This window comes from Homo sapiens, chromosome 3 (assembly GCF_000001405.40).
Source record: "Homo sapiens chromosome 3, GRCh38.p14 Primary Assembly".
NCBI classification, from domain to species: Eukaryota; Metazoa; Chordata; class Mammalia; order Primates; family Hominidae; genus Homo; species Homo sapiens.
The window spans coordinates 182,795,602-182,818,915 of record NC_000003.12 but is presented as its reverse complement, the minus strand read 5'-3'; the positions used below and the strand labels follow the sequence as shown (position 1 = coordinate 182,818,915).

Below are 23,314 nucleotides of genomic sequence, written 5' to 3'. Positions count from 1 at the left end.
CATAGTGGTCATGGGCTATTTACTAGTACTACTAAGCAGTTATTAAAAGGTCAATAAAACTTGGGTATTCATAAGCTATGATGATCCATTTTTAGATATTAGTAAACGCTCTAATTTAGTAACCTACTACGTAAGTAATTTGGCTACCATTCAACACTTAGCATCCTTGTAGCATTTCCATTAAGCACAGACATACACAGATAGTGTGAGATCCCATGTAACTTAGAGGGATATTTTGCTTAGTCCATTGGAATATTAAGTGTTATGTACGGTATTCAACTGTTATTATTCTTGGTTTTAAACTTTTATTCTGTGATCTCAGAAACAGCTAGTACAGGACTGTACAAATGCATTTGTATGCATCATAACAAACATGTTTATTTGTTCAGACTATTTAAAGTCCTAAGATTTTTCTACCCTGCTTTTGCAACATTTTGCAATAGTGATGAACACACTTTGTAGATGTGAATGTAGCATTATGTGTCTGATTTCAAAAATCAGTCTCTTTAAGGAAAAAATATGGTGGCATAAATATTTATTTTCCTCATAAAGTGTCTTTAAAATTTTTCACAATTTGGTAAACAGATGAATAAGTGAACAAATGAATGAACAAATAGTTTCAAGGCTACTCCTTTAGTCTAGGGCTGTATTTCTCAAAAGAGGTTCACAGGAAGTTTACCTATAAACAGGTATCTGGAGCATTAGACTGCAGGAAGCATATTTATTCAGCATCCACTCCACAAACATGTTAACATCTCCCCCCAAACACTAGCTCCTGCCTCTTAATATGCTTTCTGCCATCTTTCTCTCCAGCATCACTCTGCTTTCAGCTCAACTCAACAGATTCAGATGGACACCTTTTTAAGAGCCCGTTAAAACAGATAAAATATTACTAATATGTTACTACTTCTCTTTAACACTAATTTAAACACTGATTTATAGCTTCTGGGATAAAGTTTTTTTAAAAAAGAAAGTAAATTTCAGGGCCTCAAACAGTACGTAAATCTTTAAGATGTCAAGACAACTGAGACTGAGAACCACTTAAAGAAAAGTTTAATTTTTTGCTAAATTCTCACAAGACCAGAATTTATGTACATCTAAAGTTAAGAAACAAAAAAAAAAGGACCCAAAATAACAGCAAGATAACTACAGCAACACCTCAGTTATGACTAGAATTTATATTAACATATAAATGCACATACTTTACATGAAGCAAATGCTCATCATTTCCCATTTATCTCTACTGGATGATAAGAACCAATGACCACATACTAAAATTTTGGAACTCCTGAGGGTTCTATAATTATTTCAAAGGGATATATTAAAACGTTCCCCCTGGCTGGGGGCGGTGGCTCATGGCTGTAATCCCAGCACTTCGGGAGGCCGAGGCAGGCAGATCACGAGGTCAGGAGATCGAGACTGTCCTGGCCAACATGGTGAAACTCCGTCTCTACTAAAAATTAAAAAATTAGCTGGGTGTGGTGGCACACACCTGTAGTCCCAGCTATTTGGGAGGCTGTGGCAGGGGAACTGCTTGAACCCGGGAGGTGGAGGTTGCAGTGAGCTGAGATCGTGCCACTGCACTCCAGCCTGGCAACACAGCAAGACTCTGTCTCAAAAACAAACAAACAAAAAAAAAAACGGTCCCCCCAAAATACATTATAAATTAAACTGAATTTTAAAAATCCTATAGAGCAATTCTATATTCCAATTAAAAATAAGATGACAAATTTAAAAGGAGAATGATGACAAACTTTTCCATATTCCCAATGATGATATAATATCTACCTATGCATTCTGAGGCTTTTTATTAATTCACATAATCTCATTCAATCATATTATAGTCAATGGCCTGCATTTGTGGGCACGTACGTGTGTTATTTTCTTTCATATGCAAAATAGGTAAATTTAATATATGTGTCTATAGTATAAGTACAGCCAAATGTCCCTTACGGAAATTAAACTTATAACTTCAGTTCATTAGTATTTAATATTAACTTTGCTGCAACAAATTAAACTAGCCACAATCTAAATAAAAATAAAAGAACAAAACTATCCAAAAATGAAGAAAGTGACTTAGAGCAGGATCCATAAATGGGCTTTAGTTCTGTGAATCCCTGAAATTGTGTGCAAATTTGCATATATGTGCATTTTTCTGATAAGCGTATACATAGGTTTCATGAGCTTTGCATGATGAAAAGAAGCTTAAAAGTACTTAACTTAAAATCTTGCTTTGTAATTAGTTCTGTAGCTTGAAATTCTATATTTAAAACTACCTCAAGAGAATCTTTATGTTTCAGTAACACCTTTATCTTCTTTAACAGGAGTCAAAACAAACTATTAACAAAATTATTTGTGTAACTACACGTTTAGTATGAAGTTCAAGCATAGTTTCACACTATTTCTAGTAAGCATTATCAGCAATTCTATGACACTGGAAAGGAAATATAATCTGAACTCTCTAATTACTAGGTCAAGGCTACATGGCAAGGTTCAGAAACCTTTGGCACATAATACATTTTCTCTTGTTATCCCAGGCTACTCATTCACACCCTCAACCCCTTAATGCTTGCCTGCTCCTTTCTTCTCTGATTTTATCTTGTCCTGGGCAAAGGACCTGAGATAGATCAATGCTATTCCAGCCACCCTGGCTTTATGTTAATGTCTACTAAAAAGTAGAGTTTAGGTATTGTAGGCACACAAATTTAAACTATTTGAAAGCTATCATATTCTTAAAAATTATGAAATTCAAAATCCCTTTTTTTTTCTTACTGGACTTGTGAGCATATGTTAAAGCCATAGGTACTCAAAAAAAAAAGTGGGTGAATATTTAAAGGGGAAAAAGTCTCATGATGGCAGACAGGGGAAGTACTGTTAATACACAAGACAGGATTGATTTGAACGGGACTCCTCTTGTAACCAAACTGAATGAGACCTGGAGAAATCAAATCAGCAAACAGCTATATCAATTTTAGCAGGAGGTCTCTGGCATAAAACAATACTTAGGAATGAATCTCAACATTTTCAATTTCAGGCCAAGTATATTAGCCTCTGCATTATCTTAAAATCCCAAAGATTTTATAAGCATTACAAGTAAAAGAGCTAAGAAGAGACTAAAACTATAGTTATGAATAATTTAATTAGTCATACTTCTTTAATATAACTAAGAAAACATCATCCTTAGAGTTCACAGCGCCTTCTAGCATTCCTACATATGATCTATTTGCTCTATGACAGAAAGAAAAAGCATCAAAACAAACAAAAGACCTCAAAACAACAAAAACAAAAAGCAGCTTCAGGGTCAAAACTGTATTAGGTTATTAAAATAAATGAACAGAATTTTATTTAGATCACATTCATGACAGAAAGTGATTTTTGCTGGCTATATGTTTCAAAGTATACAGGCACATGAAAATGCCTAGGGAAAAAAAATACCAATGCTTCTGGGGAGGAATTATTTAACGTCTTTTACTGAAACCTACAAAGTTAATTGTGAATTACTATTTCCTAGACATAAACTTTCAATAAATTATACCTATTCAGTAAAATATACCTATATAAAGGTACCATCAGGGCAAGATAATGTGACACTGTTAACAGACCAGACTAAGGTGATAGAGAAAAATTTAAAACACCCACAATGTAAACAGTTATAATTTACCTCAGCTTTTTGCTTTGTATTACATAACTTTCACTTCAGGATTTAAGTTAGTTTGCCATCTATCAGACCAGTCCGGTCTTCCAAGAACCCTGGCTTAGTGCAGGGGTGAGTTGGGACTGGATTTTTTCAAGCTGTAGGATATAAAATCTAGAGTAATCTTAGCGAAAGATAACTCAAAAATTCTCAAATCATTTGCCAAAGTTTTACTAAAGGTAGCTCATCTCTGGCTCCAGGAAAAGCCTACTCATCCTTCATTTTTCAGCTTAAGAGCTTCCTTCTCAGTGGAGCTTTAGCTGATGCCCCTCATTCCCCAGAGACAAAGGAAGGCATGTGTTATGTACTACTCCCACCAAACCTTTTATACGGTTCCAGTATAGATTTCATTACACTGAATTCTAATTGCTTGTCTCTGTATCTATCTCCCCCTCCAGACTATAAGATTCTTTTGAGATCAGGTCTTGCTCGGTCACCCAGGCTTGAGTGCAGTGGTGTATTCACGGCTCACTGCACTCTTGACTTCCCAGGCTCAAGCGATCCTCTCATTTCAGCCTCTGAGTAGCTGGGACTACAGATGCACACCACCATGCCCAGCTAACTTTTAAAATTTTTTGTAGATATGGGGTCTCACTGTGTTGCCCAGGCTGGTCCCAACCTCCTGGGCTCAAGCAATCCTCCTTCCTCAATCTCCCAAAGTGCTGGGATTACAGCTGTGAGCCACTGTGCTCTGCTCAGATTGTAAAATTCTTAAGGGCAGCATGTGCTTAGATGTCTGACACAAATTAATTCTTTAAAGAATATTTACTCAATGGATTAAATTCTCTAGTTTTCACATTCTGAGTTTCAAATTCTCTAGTTTCACATTCTGAATTTGGCTTTAAAATATCACTAAAGGCTGGGCACAGTGGCTCACGCCTGTAATCTCAGCACTTTGGGAGGCCGAGGTGGACAAATCACCTGAGGTCAGGAGTTCGAGACCAGCCTGGCTAAAATGGTAAAACCCCATCTTTACTAAAAATACAAAAAATTAGCCGGGTGTGGTGGTGCGTGCCTGTAATCCCACCTACTTGTGAGGCTGAGGCAGGAGAATCACTTAAACCTGGGACGCAGAGGTTGCAAGTGAGCCAAGATTGCACCATTGTACTTCAGCCTGGGTGACAAGAGCAAAACTCGTCTCAAAATAAATAAATGAATAAATAAATAAATATAAAATATCACTAAAAATAAATGTCAGTCAGGCGTGGTGGCTCACACATGTAATCCCACCACTTTGGGAGGCCAAGGCAGGTGGATCACTTAGGCCAGGAGTTCAAGAACAGCCTGGGCAACATGGGAAAACTCTGTCTCTACAAAAATAGAAAAATTAGCCGGATGGGGTAGCATGTGTCTATAGTTCCAGCTACTCGGGAGGCTGACGCAGGAGGGTCACTTGGGTCCAGGAGGTCAAGGTTGCAATGAGCCACAATAATGCCACTGCACTCCAGCCTGGGCAACAGAGTAAGACCCTGCCTCAAAAAAATAAAAAATAAAAATAATAAAAAACAAATGTCTACCAAACTGAATTTAACTTTTATGTTATTTAATTTGGAAATGGAAAAAATTTTAAAGCGGTTCTGTAGAGTGAAATATACCATTACTAGTATAAGAGGGGCTAGCAGGAAACTTTTTATTCTGGTGTTCCTAGATATGTCTTATTTTTATCAAGGCTATTTATTACAGTTTTACAGTTGGTGGGGATCCATTCCTGAAGGTCAAACAAATCAACTTCCATTAGGGGAATACAAATCAAAACCACAAGGAGATAACACTTCACATCCATTAACAAAGTTATTACAAAAACAAAACAAAACAAAACAAAACACCCCACAAAACAGAAAATAAGTATTGGCAAAAATGTGGAGAAACTGGAACCCTTGTGCATTGCTGGGGGGAATGTAAAATGGTGAAGCTACTGTGGAAAATGGTATGGCAGTTTCTCAAAAAATTAAACACAGAATTAACATAAGATCCAGCAATTCTACTTCTGGGTATATACTTCAAAGAAGTGAAAGAAGGAGCTCGAAGAATATTTCTACACCCATGTCCAAAGCAGCATTATTCACAATAGTCAAAAGGTGGAAGCAATCCAAGTGTTCATCAACTGATGAATGAATAAACAAAATGTGGTATTATACAGGCAATGAAATATTATACAGCATTAAAAAGGAAGAAAATGTTGGCACATGCTGCAATATGGATCAACCTTAAGGACATTATGCTAAGTAAAATAAGCCAGTCAGAAAATGACAAATATTGTATGATTCCTCTTATATAAGGAATAAGAGTAGTTAAATTCATAAGACAGAAGCAGAAAGTGGTTGCCAGGGGTTGAGTAAGGAAGGGAATGGCAAGTTTATGAGTACAGAGTTTCAGGCTGGGAAGATAAAAAAGTTCAAGAGATGGATGGTGGTAATGATTATATAACAATGTGAATATACTGAATGCCACAGAACTGTACACTTAAAAATGGTTAAAATGGTAACTTTTATATTATGTATATTTCACACAATTTTTAGAAATCAACTTCATCCATTTGGGACTTCACTGTGGACTTTCTGCATCAGGCAAGTCCTATTTGGCCATAATTCAACCATGATAGTAAATATCCCTTATATGCTGGACTGGTAGTTTCCATGTATGGAAACACAGAGGTATTTATGATAAAAATAAATGTGTAAGGTTTAGTTTAGATCAAATTTAAAGATCACAGGTTTTAGTAAGGGAGAATTTAAGGTTTCTATAAGCAAGGACACTAAATTTGAGTTCTTTGCCTATCCAGTTAACCACTGTCTGGATAAGGAGTGAAACTAGTAAATTTTATGGCTGCAGTATCCAGATTGGAGATAAACGGGTAAAAATACATTTCCACTCATATCTAAAACACTTCTGAGCTTCCTCCTTCTCCCCCAACAATCATAAACAAAACTGGCAATGAAAATGGCTTTCTAAATCCTCCTTGGTATATCAGCAACAGCTGGCTACAACTCTGCAAATAGGCTGGAGACACAGTCAATGAATAAACATATCTTTTTCACAATATCTTCAAAGTTTACTATTTAAAAAATATACCAGTCACAAATGTACACCACAAAATTCTAAACAACATTAAAAAATGTATTGAAGTAAAAAAAGATGTCCTGGGTGAATCCTATTTGGTTATTTAGACAAGAATTAATGCAAAAAAAAAGTAGAAAAAAGGTGGATGGAAGATATGCAATTGTGCTATTAATTTTACACGCTGGAAACCTGTTTTCAGTAATGTCTGAACCAAGAAACCATTACTAAATAAATAACAGCAGCAGCAACAACAAAAACCAACTACTTTGTACCAGTCTCACCACAATCTAGTTGTCCTACTTTTCATCTTGCCATAAACATTTTTAATGTTTATCAAAATACATAATGCTCTTACCTACAATGAAAGTATATGCTGTTCCTGTTATCAGATACATACAATGTAATATAAACAACTTAAATTGGGCAAACCAACCAAAATAATAATATCACTGAAATAATGTTCCCGAATAATCATATACTTAGTGTTCTACAGGCTTTTCTATCCACCTATTATTTTCCGATTGGTTGCTATTCTCATATAGAAAACTGTATGTACTAGTTCTATTATAGCTAAGAGGTGTATGCCTCAAAAAACTCCTTCTGGGGGGATGAGCCAAAGGAAGGAAGGTGGACTTCTAGGAACTTTTCAGAAATAAGGTTGGTATTGATTTTCACAATGACTGGGGGGTGCTAGTGGCATTTAGTTACTGGGTGGGTGAGGCAGAAGTATTAGACATTCTGTAATGGATTGCAGAGCCTTGCCAATGAAGAACTGTCCTATGAGCATCACAACTTCCAGACGCCATGTTTGCAAAAATCCCTTTGAAATAATCCAAACCTTCTATTTGAACATAAACAAAAAAATTTTATATGGATTTATGAATTTTCCAGGAATGCAATTACCAGGAAAATTGAAGAAAGATTATACTTTTTGTCAGAACTTTTATGAAGTGCTGTTTACTATTTCAGAAAATCACATCACCAGTGAAAATGCTATGAGTCACCATAACAATATATTTTTAGCAGTATATTTTAGAGCCAGAGCATTCACAATGACTTCAGCATCTGATTATTCATTATGTCCAGTGTAGTCATGATTGTTTACATACTGAAATAGATTTTATTTAATATAAATGTATTCATTTATTTTTCCTTCATATGACAATTAGGGTGGTAATGTGGATTTTTTAAAAAATTACTTGTATAAGCAACTTATTTAAATTTTATTTCAGGATTTTAAAAAGGAAGAAATATTTATAAAATATTTGATACGAACAGGGGAAATATGTCTGACAGCGTTGAGAATCAACTATGTATTTGGATGTTAAAATGTAAGTTATACCACAAGTATTCACTATCTCTCAAGTTAGAAGGTGCTGCTTATCTCACATGAGCAGTACAGACAGTACTCAAACCAGGAAACTACTGTACAACAAATATTTCCAACTACAGATTTAAAAGTAGGATAAAGTATAGGTAAAAACATTCTCAACAGTAGCAGCACAAAAAACGCACTGAGGTCAAAGAATAAAGATGCTAGGTGAATCCTACTCACTTAGAAAAGAATAGACACAAAGGTAGAAAAAAGTAGGGTGGGAGGAAGATGCACAATTGTCTAATTAATTTTATATGTCAGAAATGTGTTATCAAGAACCTGGGAAATATGCTTCGAAAGAAAGTAAAGCATGTCTACGCAGGGTAAAGAGAAAAAAAAAAGACTCAGTAAATCCTAAACTATTGCTATGAAAATTAAACTTTAAGCAGAGAAATGATTACTTAGCATCACTGGATCACACTAACATAATTCTGAAAAATTTATTTATTTATTTTGAGGTGGAGTCTTGCTCCATCGCTCAGGCTGAGGTGCAGTGGTGCCATCTCGGCTCGCTGCAACCTCCACCTCCTGGGTTCAAGCAATTCTCCTGTCTCAGCCTCCTGAGTAGCTGGGATTACAGGCACCCACCACGATGCCAGGCTATCTTTTGTATTTTTAGTAGAGATGGGGTTTCACCGTGTTGGCCAGGCTGGTCTTGAACTCCTGATCTCAAGTGATCTGCTCGCCTCGGCTTCCCAAAGTGCATGAGCCACCGTGACCGGCTGAAAATGTATTTTTAAAAAACAGAAGAATTTTAGCTTATTTTCAGTTATTTCAAAAAGCAGCTCATTTACCCTGCATAATAACTAAGAAAATTCTACTGCTGATCTGCAATTCTTGCCTTTTAATATTTTCCTGTATTCGATTTTTTAAAAATGTACTTTAGCAACCAATCAAAGAATACTTACTGAATACTTACTATGTGCCTTGTAATGTGCTAAGGACTAATGATGATGAAAGAAATACATGATTTAGTCCCTGCCCATATGGAATTGATGAAATCTTAGTGATTTATGCCTTAAGCTATTTCATCTCACATACTTAAGATCAAATCAGGATTGTTTCCTGTTTTAAATGTGAGACAACTAGCATGGATATCTAACAATCTGGAAAGCAACTGGATATACTTGCTTAGAGCTTAGAAAAGAGGGCTGGACTTGATATTGGAACCCAGCAAGCAAAATGGTGACAGTTCAAGCAAAGGATGTGTACAGGATTGCTTATTAGTGTACAGAGCGGGCAGGGCGTGGTGGCTCACACCTGTAATCCCAGCACTTTGGGAAGCCAGGGCAGGCAGATCGCTTGAGGCCAGGAGTTCAAGAACGGCCCGGCCAACATGGCACAACCCTGTCTCTACTAAAAATACAAAAATTAGCCAGGCGTGGTGGAGCATGCCTGTAGTCCCAGCTACTTGGGAGGCTGAGGCAGGAGAATCGCTTGAACCCAGGAGGCGGAGGTTGCAGTAGGCGGAGATGGCACCATTGCACTCCAGCCTGGGCGACAGACCAAAAGTCTGTCTCAATAAAATAAAATAATTAAAATTAAATAAAAGAAATAAAATAGAATATAAATAAAATGTAATTAGGAAACTTAGTCTTTAATTGTTAATGGTTATCACACTAACTTCTAATAACCAAAGGCATTGGTTCTCAGAGTTTTGGACTTCTATTTTTTTAATCTCCTATAGGAGGGAACAGTTTTGGATTTCACAGATCGGTAAAACTTTTTTAAATTAGGAAACTGGCATAGGGTTGCCAACTTTTTATTTTTCTAACCAAGAATATTAATAAAAAAGAAAGCAAGGGAAACAATCTAAGACTTTAAATTAAAGTCTGAGAAACTAAACCAGAAAAAGAACATTAGGGAAAAACTAATAAAATTCAAATAAAGTATGCAGTTAAATAACAACACATCAATATTGGTGTAACAAACGCTGCACAGTAATGTAAAATGTTAACAATAAGAGAAACTGGGTGGGAGAGAAGGGTACAGGAATCCTCTCCACTATATTTGCAACTTTTTTGTTAATCAAAAACCATTCTAAAATAAAGTTTATGTTTAAAATGTTAAAAAAATTACTCAAAAACAAGGACATCTATAAATTTATGCAAACACACAGATTACACTGACCTCATTTTTCTCATTTTGCCATAGACCACTGAGAGCTTTATCTCAATCTACATGAAACATCATCATTATGGAACCCATGGCCTGGGAGACTACCAACTAAAAAAAACTGTTAAAAGCATTCTTTACAAATTTTGACTTTCCCTTTCTCATAATACATTCCTAAGATACTTCAGCTTTTCCCTCTTTAAAAAAAAAATACTACAAATATATGCTGGAAAAAAAATGTTGATCAACATTGGCAGGTTAGCACTGCATCAATTCCCTTTAACTTTGCATAAAGATTTGGATCCACAAGGTATGAGGGTCTCCTGCATATCTAAGTTAGAAACCAATTCCTTTACAACACTGGAACTTCAACAGGAAAACACAAGATTAGAGAACTACTTTACAGTCTCTCCATAGTAAACAATCAGGTTCACTCTCACTGTTTCTGAACTTATCGTACCTTAAAGAGCATAGTGGAGAGCTAAAATAAGCAAGAGTATCTACATTCCCCTTGTAGTTCAGGAGATGAAAAAGTGAAGAAACAACGTTCTAGGTAACATATGATTAAGACTTGGACTTACTATATTGTGCTCAAGCTTTATCCGCCAATTACACTCATTGCAAAAGACTCTTCAAAGCAAAATCTTACAATACCTATGTGTATCACTTATAAAGAAAAACGTGTTTGCTACTCAGTTAAGTTAAAATGTTTGATCATTCTGAAATATCAAGCCACTTAGTATTTGATCTTATAATTCAATTTATAAGTATCATGAGCAAGGTAATATGCTTAGAACTATGGAAATACCAAAATGAGAAAACCACGCCCCTCCCCTGAATAAAACTTCATTTTTAAAAAAAGCCTTTTTAATAAGCACAAAAAGTAAAATATGTAGAATAAGTACAATTTTGACTAAAATAGCATTAAATCATAGATGACTCACTTATTTTCCTACAGAATATTATAAAATATAACCTTAATAGATTTAAAAGTATGACATAATTTCCTTATGGATATGATAAAAGCTATTATTAAAAATGGGCACCACCTTATCTCTTTGCTGCAATTCTAATTTCTATTTCAAGGTCACAAATTTCTCAAATGTCAAAATAATTTTTGAGCTCCCAAGGAATTTAAAACTTTTGAAAACTCTAAAAAATAATTTGCCACGCTGTTTAAAATCAATGTACACATTGCCATTTACACTATATAACATGTGTAAGAGGAGATACACATTAAGATATAAGCCAGGCCTAACTAATAAAATATATTTCACCTTGAGAATGGCCATGGCTGGACTAGAAACTCTTGATCATTTTTTTTTCTTTTTCCTCTACAAACTTGTCACCACCATCTCCAGAATACCACTGCTAGACTTTCCTTCCCCTAATGCATTCTGTAGTCTTATCACACTTTCAGGCAGATTTAAGAGATAACGGTGGAAGCTACTGTTATTTCATTCTCCCTACTATGGCTAATTCTATTCCACACTACTAAACTCCCTGGAAAAACTCTCTAGGTTCAAGTCCTGGCTGTGACACTAATTGGCTATTGGCTTTGGGAAGGTCTACATTTTGAACTGTTCCCTTTACTTCACAAAAGCAAAGACAGATAGTCTTTTTTTTTTTTAAATTAATACTTAGCCAAGCTTAACATAAGATAATCATTTCTGTAATCAGGAGCTGAGCCTCTGGGACTCTCAGTGTGGAAATAAGCAGTTTGAAGTTCAACTCCTATAGGATAAGAATAGCCGGATAAGAATCAGCAGTACCCCCTCTGCACCATGGTTCTAGAGTCAGGTTCAATTAGTAGTATTGTGCTTGGGTCCAGGCTTGCTCCCACCTTTGAAAGAAGCCTGGAAAAAGCTGGGTACCTTTAAAATAAGTATGTTTAAGATCTCCAAAGGAATAATGGAATAATATTTTTAATGAAAAATTATGAAACAAATCAGGCACATATGCAGAAAGAGCAGACAGAAATGAACAAGGTCCAATAATAAATAAATGCTGAAAATGAGAAATTGTCATTTAAGTAAAAATTCAGAAGACAGGATAAACTACAGTGAAAACAAGAGAATTGGTGGACTAGAAGCTAGAAATAAAAAATTTCTGCTGAAAACAGCACAGATAGAAAATGAGATGAGAATAAGAAAAGAGCCATAGAGAACAAATTAAGAGGCTTCAACATATGTCAAGCAAGAGTTCTAGAATGAGAAAACTAAAGGCTGAGAAATAATATTTTAAAGAAAAAATGGCTAAAAATTTTTCTGAATTGTATAGTCTTCAGATTGAAAGCACACGCAAATGCAGAGCAGGAAAAACAATATGAAAAAACATGATGGATACATCACAGTAAAATTACAAAATATCAAGGACAAAGATAATCTTAAAAATAATGTGAAAGATATTACCAACAAAGTAATGACAATTAGATTAAAAGCATATTTCATAACAGCAATAATAAATGTCAGAAAGTAATGGAATAAGTAGTATCTCCAATACGTAGAGCTAAAGTAACCATTAATCTAGAATTCTGTATCTAGCTAAATTCCCATTCAATAGTGACTATGAAATAAAAACATTACCACTCATGAACTCTTGCTTAAAAACAACTAAAGAAGTTATTCAGCAAGAATAAAATTAAATCCAGAAGAAAGAGGTGGTATGCAAGAAACAATAATGAGTAAAAGATATCACTAAATCCTTGTGCTAAATAAAAATTACCATATTAATTAAAAACTAATGCTAAAAAACATTGAGTTTAAAAAGAAGTAGGACTACAACCCACATTATGGGAGAAAATATTTGCAAATCACATCTCATAAAGGTCTTATATCTAGAATATATAAAGAAGTCTTACAACTCAAGAATTTTTTTTAAAACACAAGAAATAACCCAATTAAAAACAAGCGGCCCAGTGCGGTGGCTCACGCCTGTAATCCCAGCACTTTGGGAAGCCAAGGCAGACAGATCACCTGAGGTTAGGAGTTCGAGACCAGTCTGACCAACATGGAGAAACCCCATCATTACTAAAAAAAAAAAAAAAGAAATTAGCTGGGCCTGGTAGCACGCGCCTATAATACCAGCTACTTGGGAGGCTGAGGCAGGAGAATCACTTCAATCTGGGAGGCGGAGGTTGCCATGATCTGAGATCGTGCCATTGCATTCCAGCCTGGGCAACAAGAGTGAAACTCCGTCTCAAAAGAAAAAAAAAAAAGCAAAAATATCTGAATAGGCATTTCTCCAAAAATGATACACAAATGGCCAACAGGTACATAAAAAAAATTGGATATCATTAGTCATTAGGGAAGCACAAACCAAAATCGCAGTAAGATACTATTCATACCCACTAGGATGACTATAATCAAAAAGACAGACAAAAGTAAGTGTTGGCAAGGATATGAAGACATTGGAACCCTCATACATTGCTAGTGGGAATGTAAAATGGTCCAGATAGTTTGGAAAACACTTTGGCAATTCCTCACAAAGTTAAAAACAGAGTTACTATATGACCCAATAAAAGTCTACTCTTTAGGTATAAGCCCAAATGAAAATACACATCTACATAACAACTTACAGATGAATGGTCAAAGCCGTGTTATTTCTAATACCCAGAAGGCAGAAACAACCCAAATGTCCATCAATTGATGGATGAATTAAAAAATGTGGTATATCCATAAAATTGAGTATTATTTGGCAATAAAAAGAAATGAAGTAGTGATACATGCTACAACATAGAAGAACCTTGAAAACATTATGCTAGGTGAAAGAACACTGTTACAAAATACCACATATATGGTACGATGACATTTATATAAAATGTTCAGAGTAGGCAAATCTAGAAACAGAAAGTGGTTGATTTAGGCTGGGGGCTTGAGGTTTGGGAAAATGGGGAATGACAGTTAATGAGTATCGAGTTTCTTTTGGGAAGAAAAAATATCCTAAAATTAGAGTGTGGTGATGGTTACACTAACCTGTGAATACACTAGAAAAAAACTGAATCATATACTTTATAAGGGTAAATTGTATGTTATGTGAGTTGTATCTCAATAAAGCTGGTCAAAGAGAAAAAACAGACTACTATGCAACTGTAACGCAGAAGATGAGAAAGAACACTGGAGTTAAGAAATCTAAATTCCTGCCAGGTGCGGTCGCTCACACCTGTAATCCCAGCACTTTGGGAGGCCAAGGCGAGCGGATCACGAGGCCAGGAGATCAAGACCATGGTGAAACCCCGTCTCTGCTAAAAACACAAAAAATTAGCCGGGCGTCGTGGCGGGTGCCTGTAGTCCCAGCTACTCGGGAGGCTGAGGTAGGAGAATGGCCTGAACCCTGGAGGCAGAGCTTGCAGTGAGCCAAGATCACGCCACTGCACTTCAGCCTGGGGGTCAGAGGGAGACTCTGTCTCAAAAGAAAAAAAAAGAAAAAAAAAAGAAATCTAAATTCCTATGTTATTTGTAGATTATGTATAGAGATGCTCAATGACTATAGGCATAACTAGAAAAATAAATAAAAATGAAAATACAATCCATAGCTTATAATCATCAAAGGGAAAAAATATGAAGAAACTTAACTTCAATGCAAAGCTAATCAAAATCTAGAACTATTTTCCATGGAGCTAGACAAACACTGTAAGTGGCATATGGAAGAATAAAGTTCAGTATAATTGTAAAAAGAAAAAAAAAGAAGGTGGGGGTTCTGCCTGCCAAATACCAAGACTTATCATTAAAATACTATAATTAAGACAGAGCATTATTTGTGCACCAAGAAATGAATGAAATGGAATACAGAATCTAGAATGAGACCAAGGTATATGAAAGAGAATGCTGGTATATGACAGAGTATGTGAAAGAGAATGCTGGTACGTGTCCTAAATGTGTCACTTATGACAGAGAAGGCAAACAACACAGACTCGTGGAGGAAGGATGCCTCATTCAATAAACAGCATTGACACAACTTTCTATACGGGAGAAAACAAATTCCCTTCCTTATTCCATATACAAAAATTGATTCCAGGTATCTTTAAAGATCTAAATGTTAAAAAACTAATTTTAAAACAATTTGAAGAAAACGCTGGAAAAACAGCTTTATGATCCTAGTATAACAAAGGAATTGTCAAATATGTAATAAAAAGCAGAAATCATATGTCTAATAAATTTACCTACAAATAAATTTAAACTTTCTGTATAAAAAAAGATACCATAAACTAAATTAAATACACGGAACAGACTAGAAGATATTTACAACATATACAACAAAGAATTGGCATCCAGGCTATAGCAAGAATTAGGAAAGGCCAAACTACCCAATGGAAAACGGGCAATCTATTCATGTGAATGAAATTGAGGATACCTGCATCTCACCAGCAATCAAGAAAATGCAAATTAGAACAAAATGAGACACTATTTCACACCCATCAGACTGGTACGTTTTTTCAAGTCTGACAGTACAAAGTGTTGAGCAAGATGTAGGGAAAGGAGAACTCTGTTTTAGAAAATACTTTGGCAATATTTAGTAACAGTCATAATGTACGTGACCCATGACCCAGCAATTCCACTTCTGGGTATTTAACTTCAAAATAAATAAATAAATAAACAATAATAGTCATTGTAACACTTTTTGTAACAGGAAAAAATTGGCAACAATCCGAATATACATTAGAAAAAAAGAACCCCCCATAAGATTGGCTGGGGCAGGGATTACTTCATTTTGGTAGTTCCAAAGCCTAGCAACAAATATGCTATCACAGAAAACTAATTCACTTACAGAAAATGACTCAATTCATCAATACATGAGAAAGAAATGGTGTCACCTAAAAGGGGATGCAGAGTTGAGAAATGGCTTTTGTTAAATGGAGAACAAAACTAAAGCAGACAAAATCCCTTCCTTCCTGAGATAAATGAGACTAGCAAGTTTTGGAGTAGGTTAAATAGCATTAAGTGCTGAGAAATCAAGCAAGGAAAGGCAACAGGGAAGTAATGGGGAGGGTCAGAACATTATACTGAATGGCTGGAAAAAGCTTCACTCATGAATAACGCAATATTTGAATAAAGACTTGAAAGGAGCGAAGGAGCCAGCAGATGTCTGCAGGAAGAACATTCCAGGTAGAGGTAGTAACAGTCAGGACAAAGCTCCTAAAACTGAAGTATGCCTGGGACTTCTGAATTGCAATAAGGCTAGTGTGAATAAAGAGTGAGAGAATAGTGATGGAGGATGAGAAATGGATTGGAAGAAGTGTAGGGGTTGGCATACAGATCAAGCAGAGACTTTGGCTTTTACTCTGAACAAAAGAGCAAGCACTTGGAAAATCTTAGGCAGAGGAATTATATGATCTAACCTGTTTAATAAGATCACTCTGGTGGGTATATTGAAAACAGACTGCAAGGACAGAAGGGGAGAAACAATGAGATGAACTAGGAAGCTTTTGCAATAATCTAGGTAAGAGGTAGCAGTAGTTTAGTTGAGGGTGGTGGCAGAGAAAGACGAGAGAAATGGTTCTGGATATATCATTTTTAGCAACAACAAAAAGGGAGATACGATTTGCTCCCCAAACACTTAGATGTATTCATGTTATAAGTAAAACACTTTTTAAAATGCATTTTTTAAAAAATTGACAAAAATTCTGTATATTTATGGTGCACAACATGATGTTTTGAAGCAAAGCATTTTTTGATTCATGTGTCTTTCTTTGATTTCTTCTCCCCACAGAGGTATCCATAGAAAAAGAGCAGTTGACTTTTAAAGAACTACATCTCCTGCTTAGAATTTGACAGATTCTTAGTAAATTTATTAGCAATACATATTATGCATGTACCTTTTATTATTAATATAACTGAATTAAATCAAGAGTTAAGGGGAGAGTTTTACATTAACTTATATTAATAATCACTGATGTAACTGACATAAAATAAAATTTCTACACTTGTAAAAATAAGAATTTGAGAATGGAAGGAAAGGAAGAAGCGATTTTGGAGATAAATACAGAAATATTTATGGGTAAAATTATATAATGTCTGGGATTTGCTTCAAAATCACTAAAGGGAGTGAGGATAGTGGGTGGGGGGAATAGATAAAACAAGATTGGTCATGTGCCGATAACTGTAAAAGTTGGGTAAAGGATAAATTATACCATTTGCCCAACTTTATACCATAAAGGGGCTCATTATACCATTATCTCTACTTTTGCAGGTGATTGAAATTTTCTATAACATAATGCTTAAAGAAAGAATAAAAATAACCTGTACCAGCTTTACCGGCTTCACACAGTAAGAATAAGCTACATATATACAACATCTGTTTCTGTTCCTAACTTTTCCAAAATGTACGTGAATGAATGAATGATTGATACCTATGCATATCATCCTATTCTTCCTCCTTTCCTGAGGGGGAACTTCACTTCCAATTAAAATGTGGAGACAGACACAGCTTAACTAATTAATATCCTTAATTTGGTATTTCATCTAAATTTTGGACAATCTAATAGTTTTAAAGAGAAACAAGTATGATTATCTGCATAAGCCATAACTTAATGTTAAGGAGGATAAACTACATGCTAAAAATTTCAAAGGAAGGCCTGGTGGGATGGGTCACACCTGTAATCCCAGCACTCTGGGAGGCCGAAGTGGATTGATCATCTGAGGTCCAGGGTTCGAGACTGGCCTGGCCAACATGGCGAAACCCTGTCTCTACTAACAATACGAAAAAATCCGTTGGGCATGGTGGGACGTGCCTGTAATCCCAGCTACTCAGGAGGCTGAGGCAGGAGAATCACCTGAATCTGGGCGGGGCTGGGGGGGGTGGGGGGCGGAGGTTGCAGTGAGCGGAGATCGCGCCACTGCACTCTAGCCTGGGTGACAAAGCGAGACTGTCTTAAAAAAAAAAAAAAATCAAAAGAATTTGCCAATACCATGTATAGGATAAGAAAATACGAAAATTAAAAATTGTACAATTTTAAGTGAGCCAGTCAGCAAAAAAATTTGTGTTCTAGTTTTCTCCTAAGCACACCCAAGAGTCAAACAGTTCCCTCAGAGCCATTCCCAAGTGCTGAGAAGTAACAGAAATTCAATGCATGTCATTCACAATACAGGTGAATGTTTACTGAATGCATTATAACCATATATGCAAAAAAATTAAATACAAACATCGTCTGGGCACAGTGGCTCACACCTGTAATCTCAGCACTTTGGGAGGCTGAGACAGGAGGATCGCTTGAGTCCAGGAGTCTGAGACCAGCCTGGGAAACATAGTGAGACCCCCACCTCTACAATTTTTTTTTTTTTTTAATTAGCTGGGTGTGGTGGCAAATGCCTGAAGTCTTAGCTACTCAGGAGGCTGAGGCAGGAGGATCATTTGAGCCCAGGAGTTTGGGGTTGCAGTGAGCTGTGATCACATCACTGCAGTACAGCCTGGGAGACAAAGTGAGGCCTTATCTCAAAAAAAAAATTATATATATAATTTCTAACTTGAAGTATTGGCTTAAAAATAAGTCTCATAGTATTTCCCATATAAATATCCAATCAAGAATGTTTTTGTTTCTTTCTTTTTTTTAATTTTTATTTTTTAGAGACAGGGTCTTACTCTGTCATCCAGGCTGGAATGTACTGGCACAATCATAGCTCACTGCCGCCTTGAACTCCTGTGTTCAAGCAATACTCCTGCCTCAGTCTCCCAAGTAGCTGGGACTAAAGGCAGGCACCGCCATGCCCAGCTAATTTTTAATTTTTGTAGACACAGGGTCTCACTATGTTGCCCAATCTGGCCTTAAACTCCTGGCCCAAAGCAATCCTCCTGTGTGTCTCCCAAAGTGCCGAGGTTACAGGTTTGAGCCACCACACCTGGCCTAGAATGTTTTTCTTATACTAAATTTTATAACAGAGAAACTCCAGGAAAAAAAGCAAAATAAAGAATATCTGAGAATAAAATCTTTCAACTATGTTTATAAACTCAAATCTTGAGTTTCATTTTGATATTTTTTAAAAAATACACGTTTACTTCCTTTTGAGAATAAAAAAATTAAAATTAAACAATAAAAATGCACATTTCTAGTAAAAACTAAGCTAATTATGAATATTATCTTGCTTAGAATGATCAGCACTCGGGCCGGGCATGGTGGCTGACGCCTGTAATCCCAGCACTTCCGGAGGCCGAGGCGGGCGGATCATGAGGTCAGGAGATCGAGACCATCCTGGTAACACGGAGAAACCCCATCTCTACTAAAAATACAAAAAATTAGCTGGGCGTGGTGGTGGGCGCCTGTAGTCCCAGCTACTCCGGAGGCTGAGGCAGGAGAATGGTGGGAACCCAGGAGGCGAACTTGCAGTGAGCTGAGATCGCGCAACTGCACTCCGCCTGGGCGAAAGAGCGAAACTGTCTCCAAAAAAAAAAAAAAAAGAAAGAAAGAAAGATCAGCACTCAGACAACTGCAGAAACAAAATGAAGAATAAACAGCATGGCTAAATCTAGAACCCCACAGCAGTCGATGTTGACTTGATAAATTATTTCCAAGGGACCAGATGCAGTTAGTCTATCAGGCAGCTTCTAGTCTCTTAGATATAATGCAGACCAACACTCTGAAAATAGAAAACTCACAGAAAAAAAGCCTGGGTAAAGTCATAAAGTCCTTAGAATCAAAAACTTTCTTGAATCTGCCTATGCCAGGCATTATATATTGTTACCATAATCTAAAACAATGCTGTAGAACAGAAATATGGCCTAAGCCACATATGTTAATTTTCTTAGTTTCCACATTTAAAAAAAGGTAAAAATAAACAAGTAGCATTTAATATTTAACCAAATACATGTATATTTATATAACCCAATATAATTTCAACATGTAATCAATTAGAAAATGAATGAGATATTTTACATCCTTTTTCCAAACTAAGTCTTCAAGATCCACTGCATATTTCATTCACACACATCTCAATTCAGAGTAGACACACTTCAAGTGCCTACATTTCGACAGCCATATGTGGATACCATGTTGAATAGCACAGGTCTAGAAAACATTTAATGACAATAATGGTAATCATAAGGCTCTTTAGAGGATCTGGAGCAAGGTCCCTACTTCAGTGTTGCTGGGAATACCTGAGTTTCCTCTAATGCTTTATCCTCTTCCTAACCAAATGCAAAACTGCGTATCTAAGAATATATGTCTGAAAATAGAGATAAAGCAGCACATACTCACAGATCTAGGTTCTTAAACATTAATTCTTGAGGTTAAAACTTATCCACAAAAAAAATACCACCCTAGGCCAGTGCTTCCTTTTTCTATTCCTTCATTCATTCCTTGGAAAAGAGGCAGAGAATGCAGGTATTTTCAAACTGATGCTGAATTAGATCTGATACTCATTCATTTATTCAACCAACATTTGGCAGGTGAATACCTACAATGGGCCAACTGCTGTCTTGAGTGTAAGGAATATAAATACAAGTAAGATATGGTTCTTATCCTAAGATATTTACAGTCTAGTCTAGTAAGTGAGATATCTAGACTTCCACAATGTGTTCTGTAAAAACAGGAGCTCACTATTCTTTTCAGACGGTCTCACTCTGTCACCCAGGCTAGAGTGTGGTGGCATGATCATGGCTCACTGCAGCCTCAAACTACTTGGGTCAAGTGACCTTCCCACCCTAACCTTCCAAGCAGCTGAGACTACAAGTCAGTACCACAATGCCCAGCTAATTTTTTTTTCTTTCCTAGAGACAGGATCTCACTATTCTTACCAGGATACAGGAATTCACTTTTAATGTTATACAGCAGCACTAATAGAAATAGAACATGAGCAACAGATGCAAGTCACGTAGGTAACTTTAAAATTTCTAACCACTTTAAAAAAAGTAAAAAGAAACAAAATTCCAAAAATTTATTTTACTTTACCTATATATGTAAAATATTATAATATCTCAACATGTAACTAACAAAAAAATGAGAGTTCTTTTTTCTTTTTTCTTTTTTCTTTTTTGAGACAGAGTCTCCCTCTGTCACCCAGGCTAGAGTCCAGTGGCATGATCTTGGCTTACTGCAACCTTTGCCTCCCACGTTCAAGTGATTCTGCTGCTTCAGCCTCCTGAGTAGCTGGGATTACAGGTGCCCATCACCACGCCAGGCAAATTTTCGGATTTTTAGTAGAGATGAGGTTTCACCATGTTGGCCAGGCTGGTCTCGAACTCCTGACCTCAGGTGATCTGCCTGTCTCGGCCTCCCAAAGTACTGGGATTACAGGAATGAGCCACCTTGCCCGGCCAGGTTTTACATTTTTTAATACTGTTTTTGAAATCCAATGTGTATTTTATACGTAAGAATAACTCTACTCAAACTAGCCACATTCCAAATACATCAGCCAGCACAGTTTTATAGATCTGTTTTTCAGAAAATTAAAAAGAATTTGCCAGTTACAGGTACAGGAAAAAGTAGCAGAGAGGCTTGAACATGTTCACAAGTTAAGAGAAAAAGTAAAGAGAAAGAAAAGAAACATACTAATGATAACTGATGGAGTATGGACAGCAGAATGAAAGAAAAGGATCAAAAGCTTAAGTGGAATTGTTATCTTGGAAAAGAGGGTTGCATCTTCCTTGTGACTGTGAAGGGAAGAATTAAGTACCAGTATAAAATATAAGCAAGTTCGGTGAGTGTGAGGAAGAACAGAAAGTTGAGGGAGTTCAGATTAAGACCTTCTCATTTTTCTCAGTTAATCAGAAGACAATCTTAGCAGCCTCCTACCACCATCGCCAATACAATCTAAAGGGATTACATTTATGGAACAGTTTAAGAAACAGTTATCCTAGTAATACTGTTTTTGTGTAATTACTCATTTTCTAACTTTTTTCTGGGCTAGTCAATCTTAAATTTGGTCATTTTTGTCTCTAAACACAGAAACAACACTACAGATTCATTCTTTCTTTCCTCATCTATTAATTATTTGTTCAGCAACATGTATCCAATGTCTACTTATGTAGAGTATGTGTGACCCTGACCAACATTTGTATCCCTGGTATTCAGCATCTGTTAATACCAGCACACAGCAAGTGCTTTAAAAATGTAGTATTACATTCAAATATGTACTGACACAGACTTTCATTTAAAAGTCTAAATTGGTGCTGTCCAATAGAATTTTCTGTGATAATGAAAATATGAACTGTCCAATATGGCAGCCAATGGCAGCCAATAGACACATGAATTCAAATTTTAATTTTAATACCCACATATGGCTCCAATTTTAATTTTAATGGCCACTTGTGGCTAATGGCTACCGTACAGGTCTAAATATTAGAATACAGTGAGTAGCTAATGGCATTTCCATAATTATAATCAAGGTATTGTCATCTCTAATGAGTTAATACATAAAATATGGTACTGAAAATGAGTATACTTTGAATAATACTAACTGTACCACAAAGACACCATAAGAGAATTTTCTTAGTGTCAAGTAACTTTAACATTGTGTGCCAAAAAGAAAAACAAAAAAGGATATTCCAATCTTTTTATTTTCAGCCTACTTTCCCAATAGAAAAGATCAAGCTTCTGTCAACTTTCTGATTTTTCCATCTTCTCAAGTAGTGAAAATATTTTGTCATAAGGAGTCACACTTTTTTTTAATTAAAAAGAAATTACTAGAACATAGGCATTGTTTCTGTAATAAAAGGACTTTTTTGTGAGACATTAGTTGAAAATCGGGATTCATATAACGAATTAAATATGCTTATAACTCCAACCTGTCCTTAGGATTTGCTTGTCAATTTCCCCAAATTTGTCCTAGTTATCTGCATTTTAAAATAAACCCATTGCTGAAAGTCGTGGTGATTCAATCCATTAAGCCACTGGAAGTATAATCTAAACTAGCTTTTACCTGAGTTGAATAATTTCTGGTGCAGTAATCAGAATAGCTGTCTATGACTGGGATAGCAAAATATACTTTCATTACTCTGTATCCAGGGTCCTTGATGTTTAATTTATGTGATCATACAAACTTAACCAGAGACACAAAGTCCTACATTGGCCCAAGTATGATTACATACTTAGAGGATCTGATAACTTAAAACCAGTGAGGTGAGCAACTAAATGTCAGAGA

General features: G+C 36.0%; 1 protein-coding gene across 4 annotated transcripts in view, besides 3 other annotated features; it reads right to left on the bottom strand.

Annotated features, from left to right (window-relative positions):
• Positions 1–23,314, bottom strand: part of ATP11B (ATPase phospholipid transporting 11B (putative)) — a 128,126-nt gene that overhangs the window by 102,714 nt on the left and 2,098 nt on the right. The gene's annotated exons all lie outside the window — the stretch shown is intronic.
• Positions 16,201–16,495: a silencer, noted in NCBI's record as "tiled region #857; HepG2 Repressive non-DNase unmatched - State 23:Low". NCBI's record gives its function as "represses a minimal TATA promoter and a strong SV40 promoter by Sharpr-MPRA in HepG2 cells {active_cell/tissue: HepG2}" and the evidence as "EXISTENCE:reporter gene assay evidence [ECO:0000049][PMID:27701403]".
• Positions 19,043–19,543: an enhancer, noted in NCBI's record as "H3K4me1 hESC enhancer chr3:182517161-182517661 (GRCh37/hg19 assembly coordinates)". NCBI's record gives its function as "activates a minimal SCP1, AML or CMV promoter by ChIP-STARR-seq in naive H9 embryonic stem cells {active_cell/tissue: H9 hESC(naive)}" and the evidence as "EXISTENCE:reporter gene assay evidence [ECO:0000049][PMID:30033119]".
• Positions 19,544–20,044: an enhancer, noted in NCBI's record as "H3K4me1 hESC enhancer chr3:182516660-182517160 (GRCh37/hg19 assembly coordinates)". NCBI's record gives its function as "activates a minimal SCP1, AML or CMV promoter by ChIP-STARR-seq in naive H9 embryonic stem cells {active_cell/tissue: H9 hESC(naive)}" and the evidence as "EXISTENCE:reporter gene assay evidence [ECO:0000049][PMID:30033119]".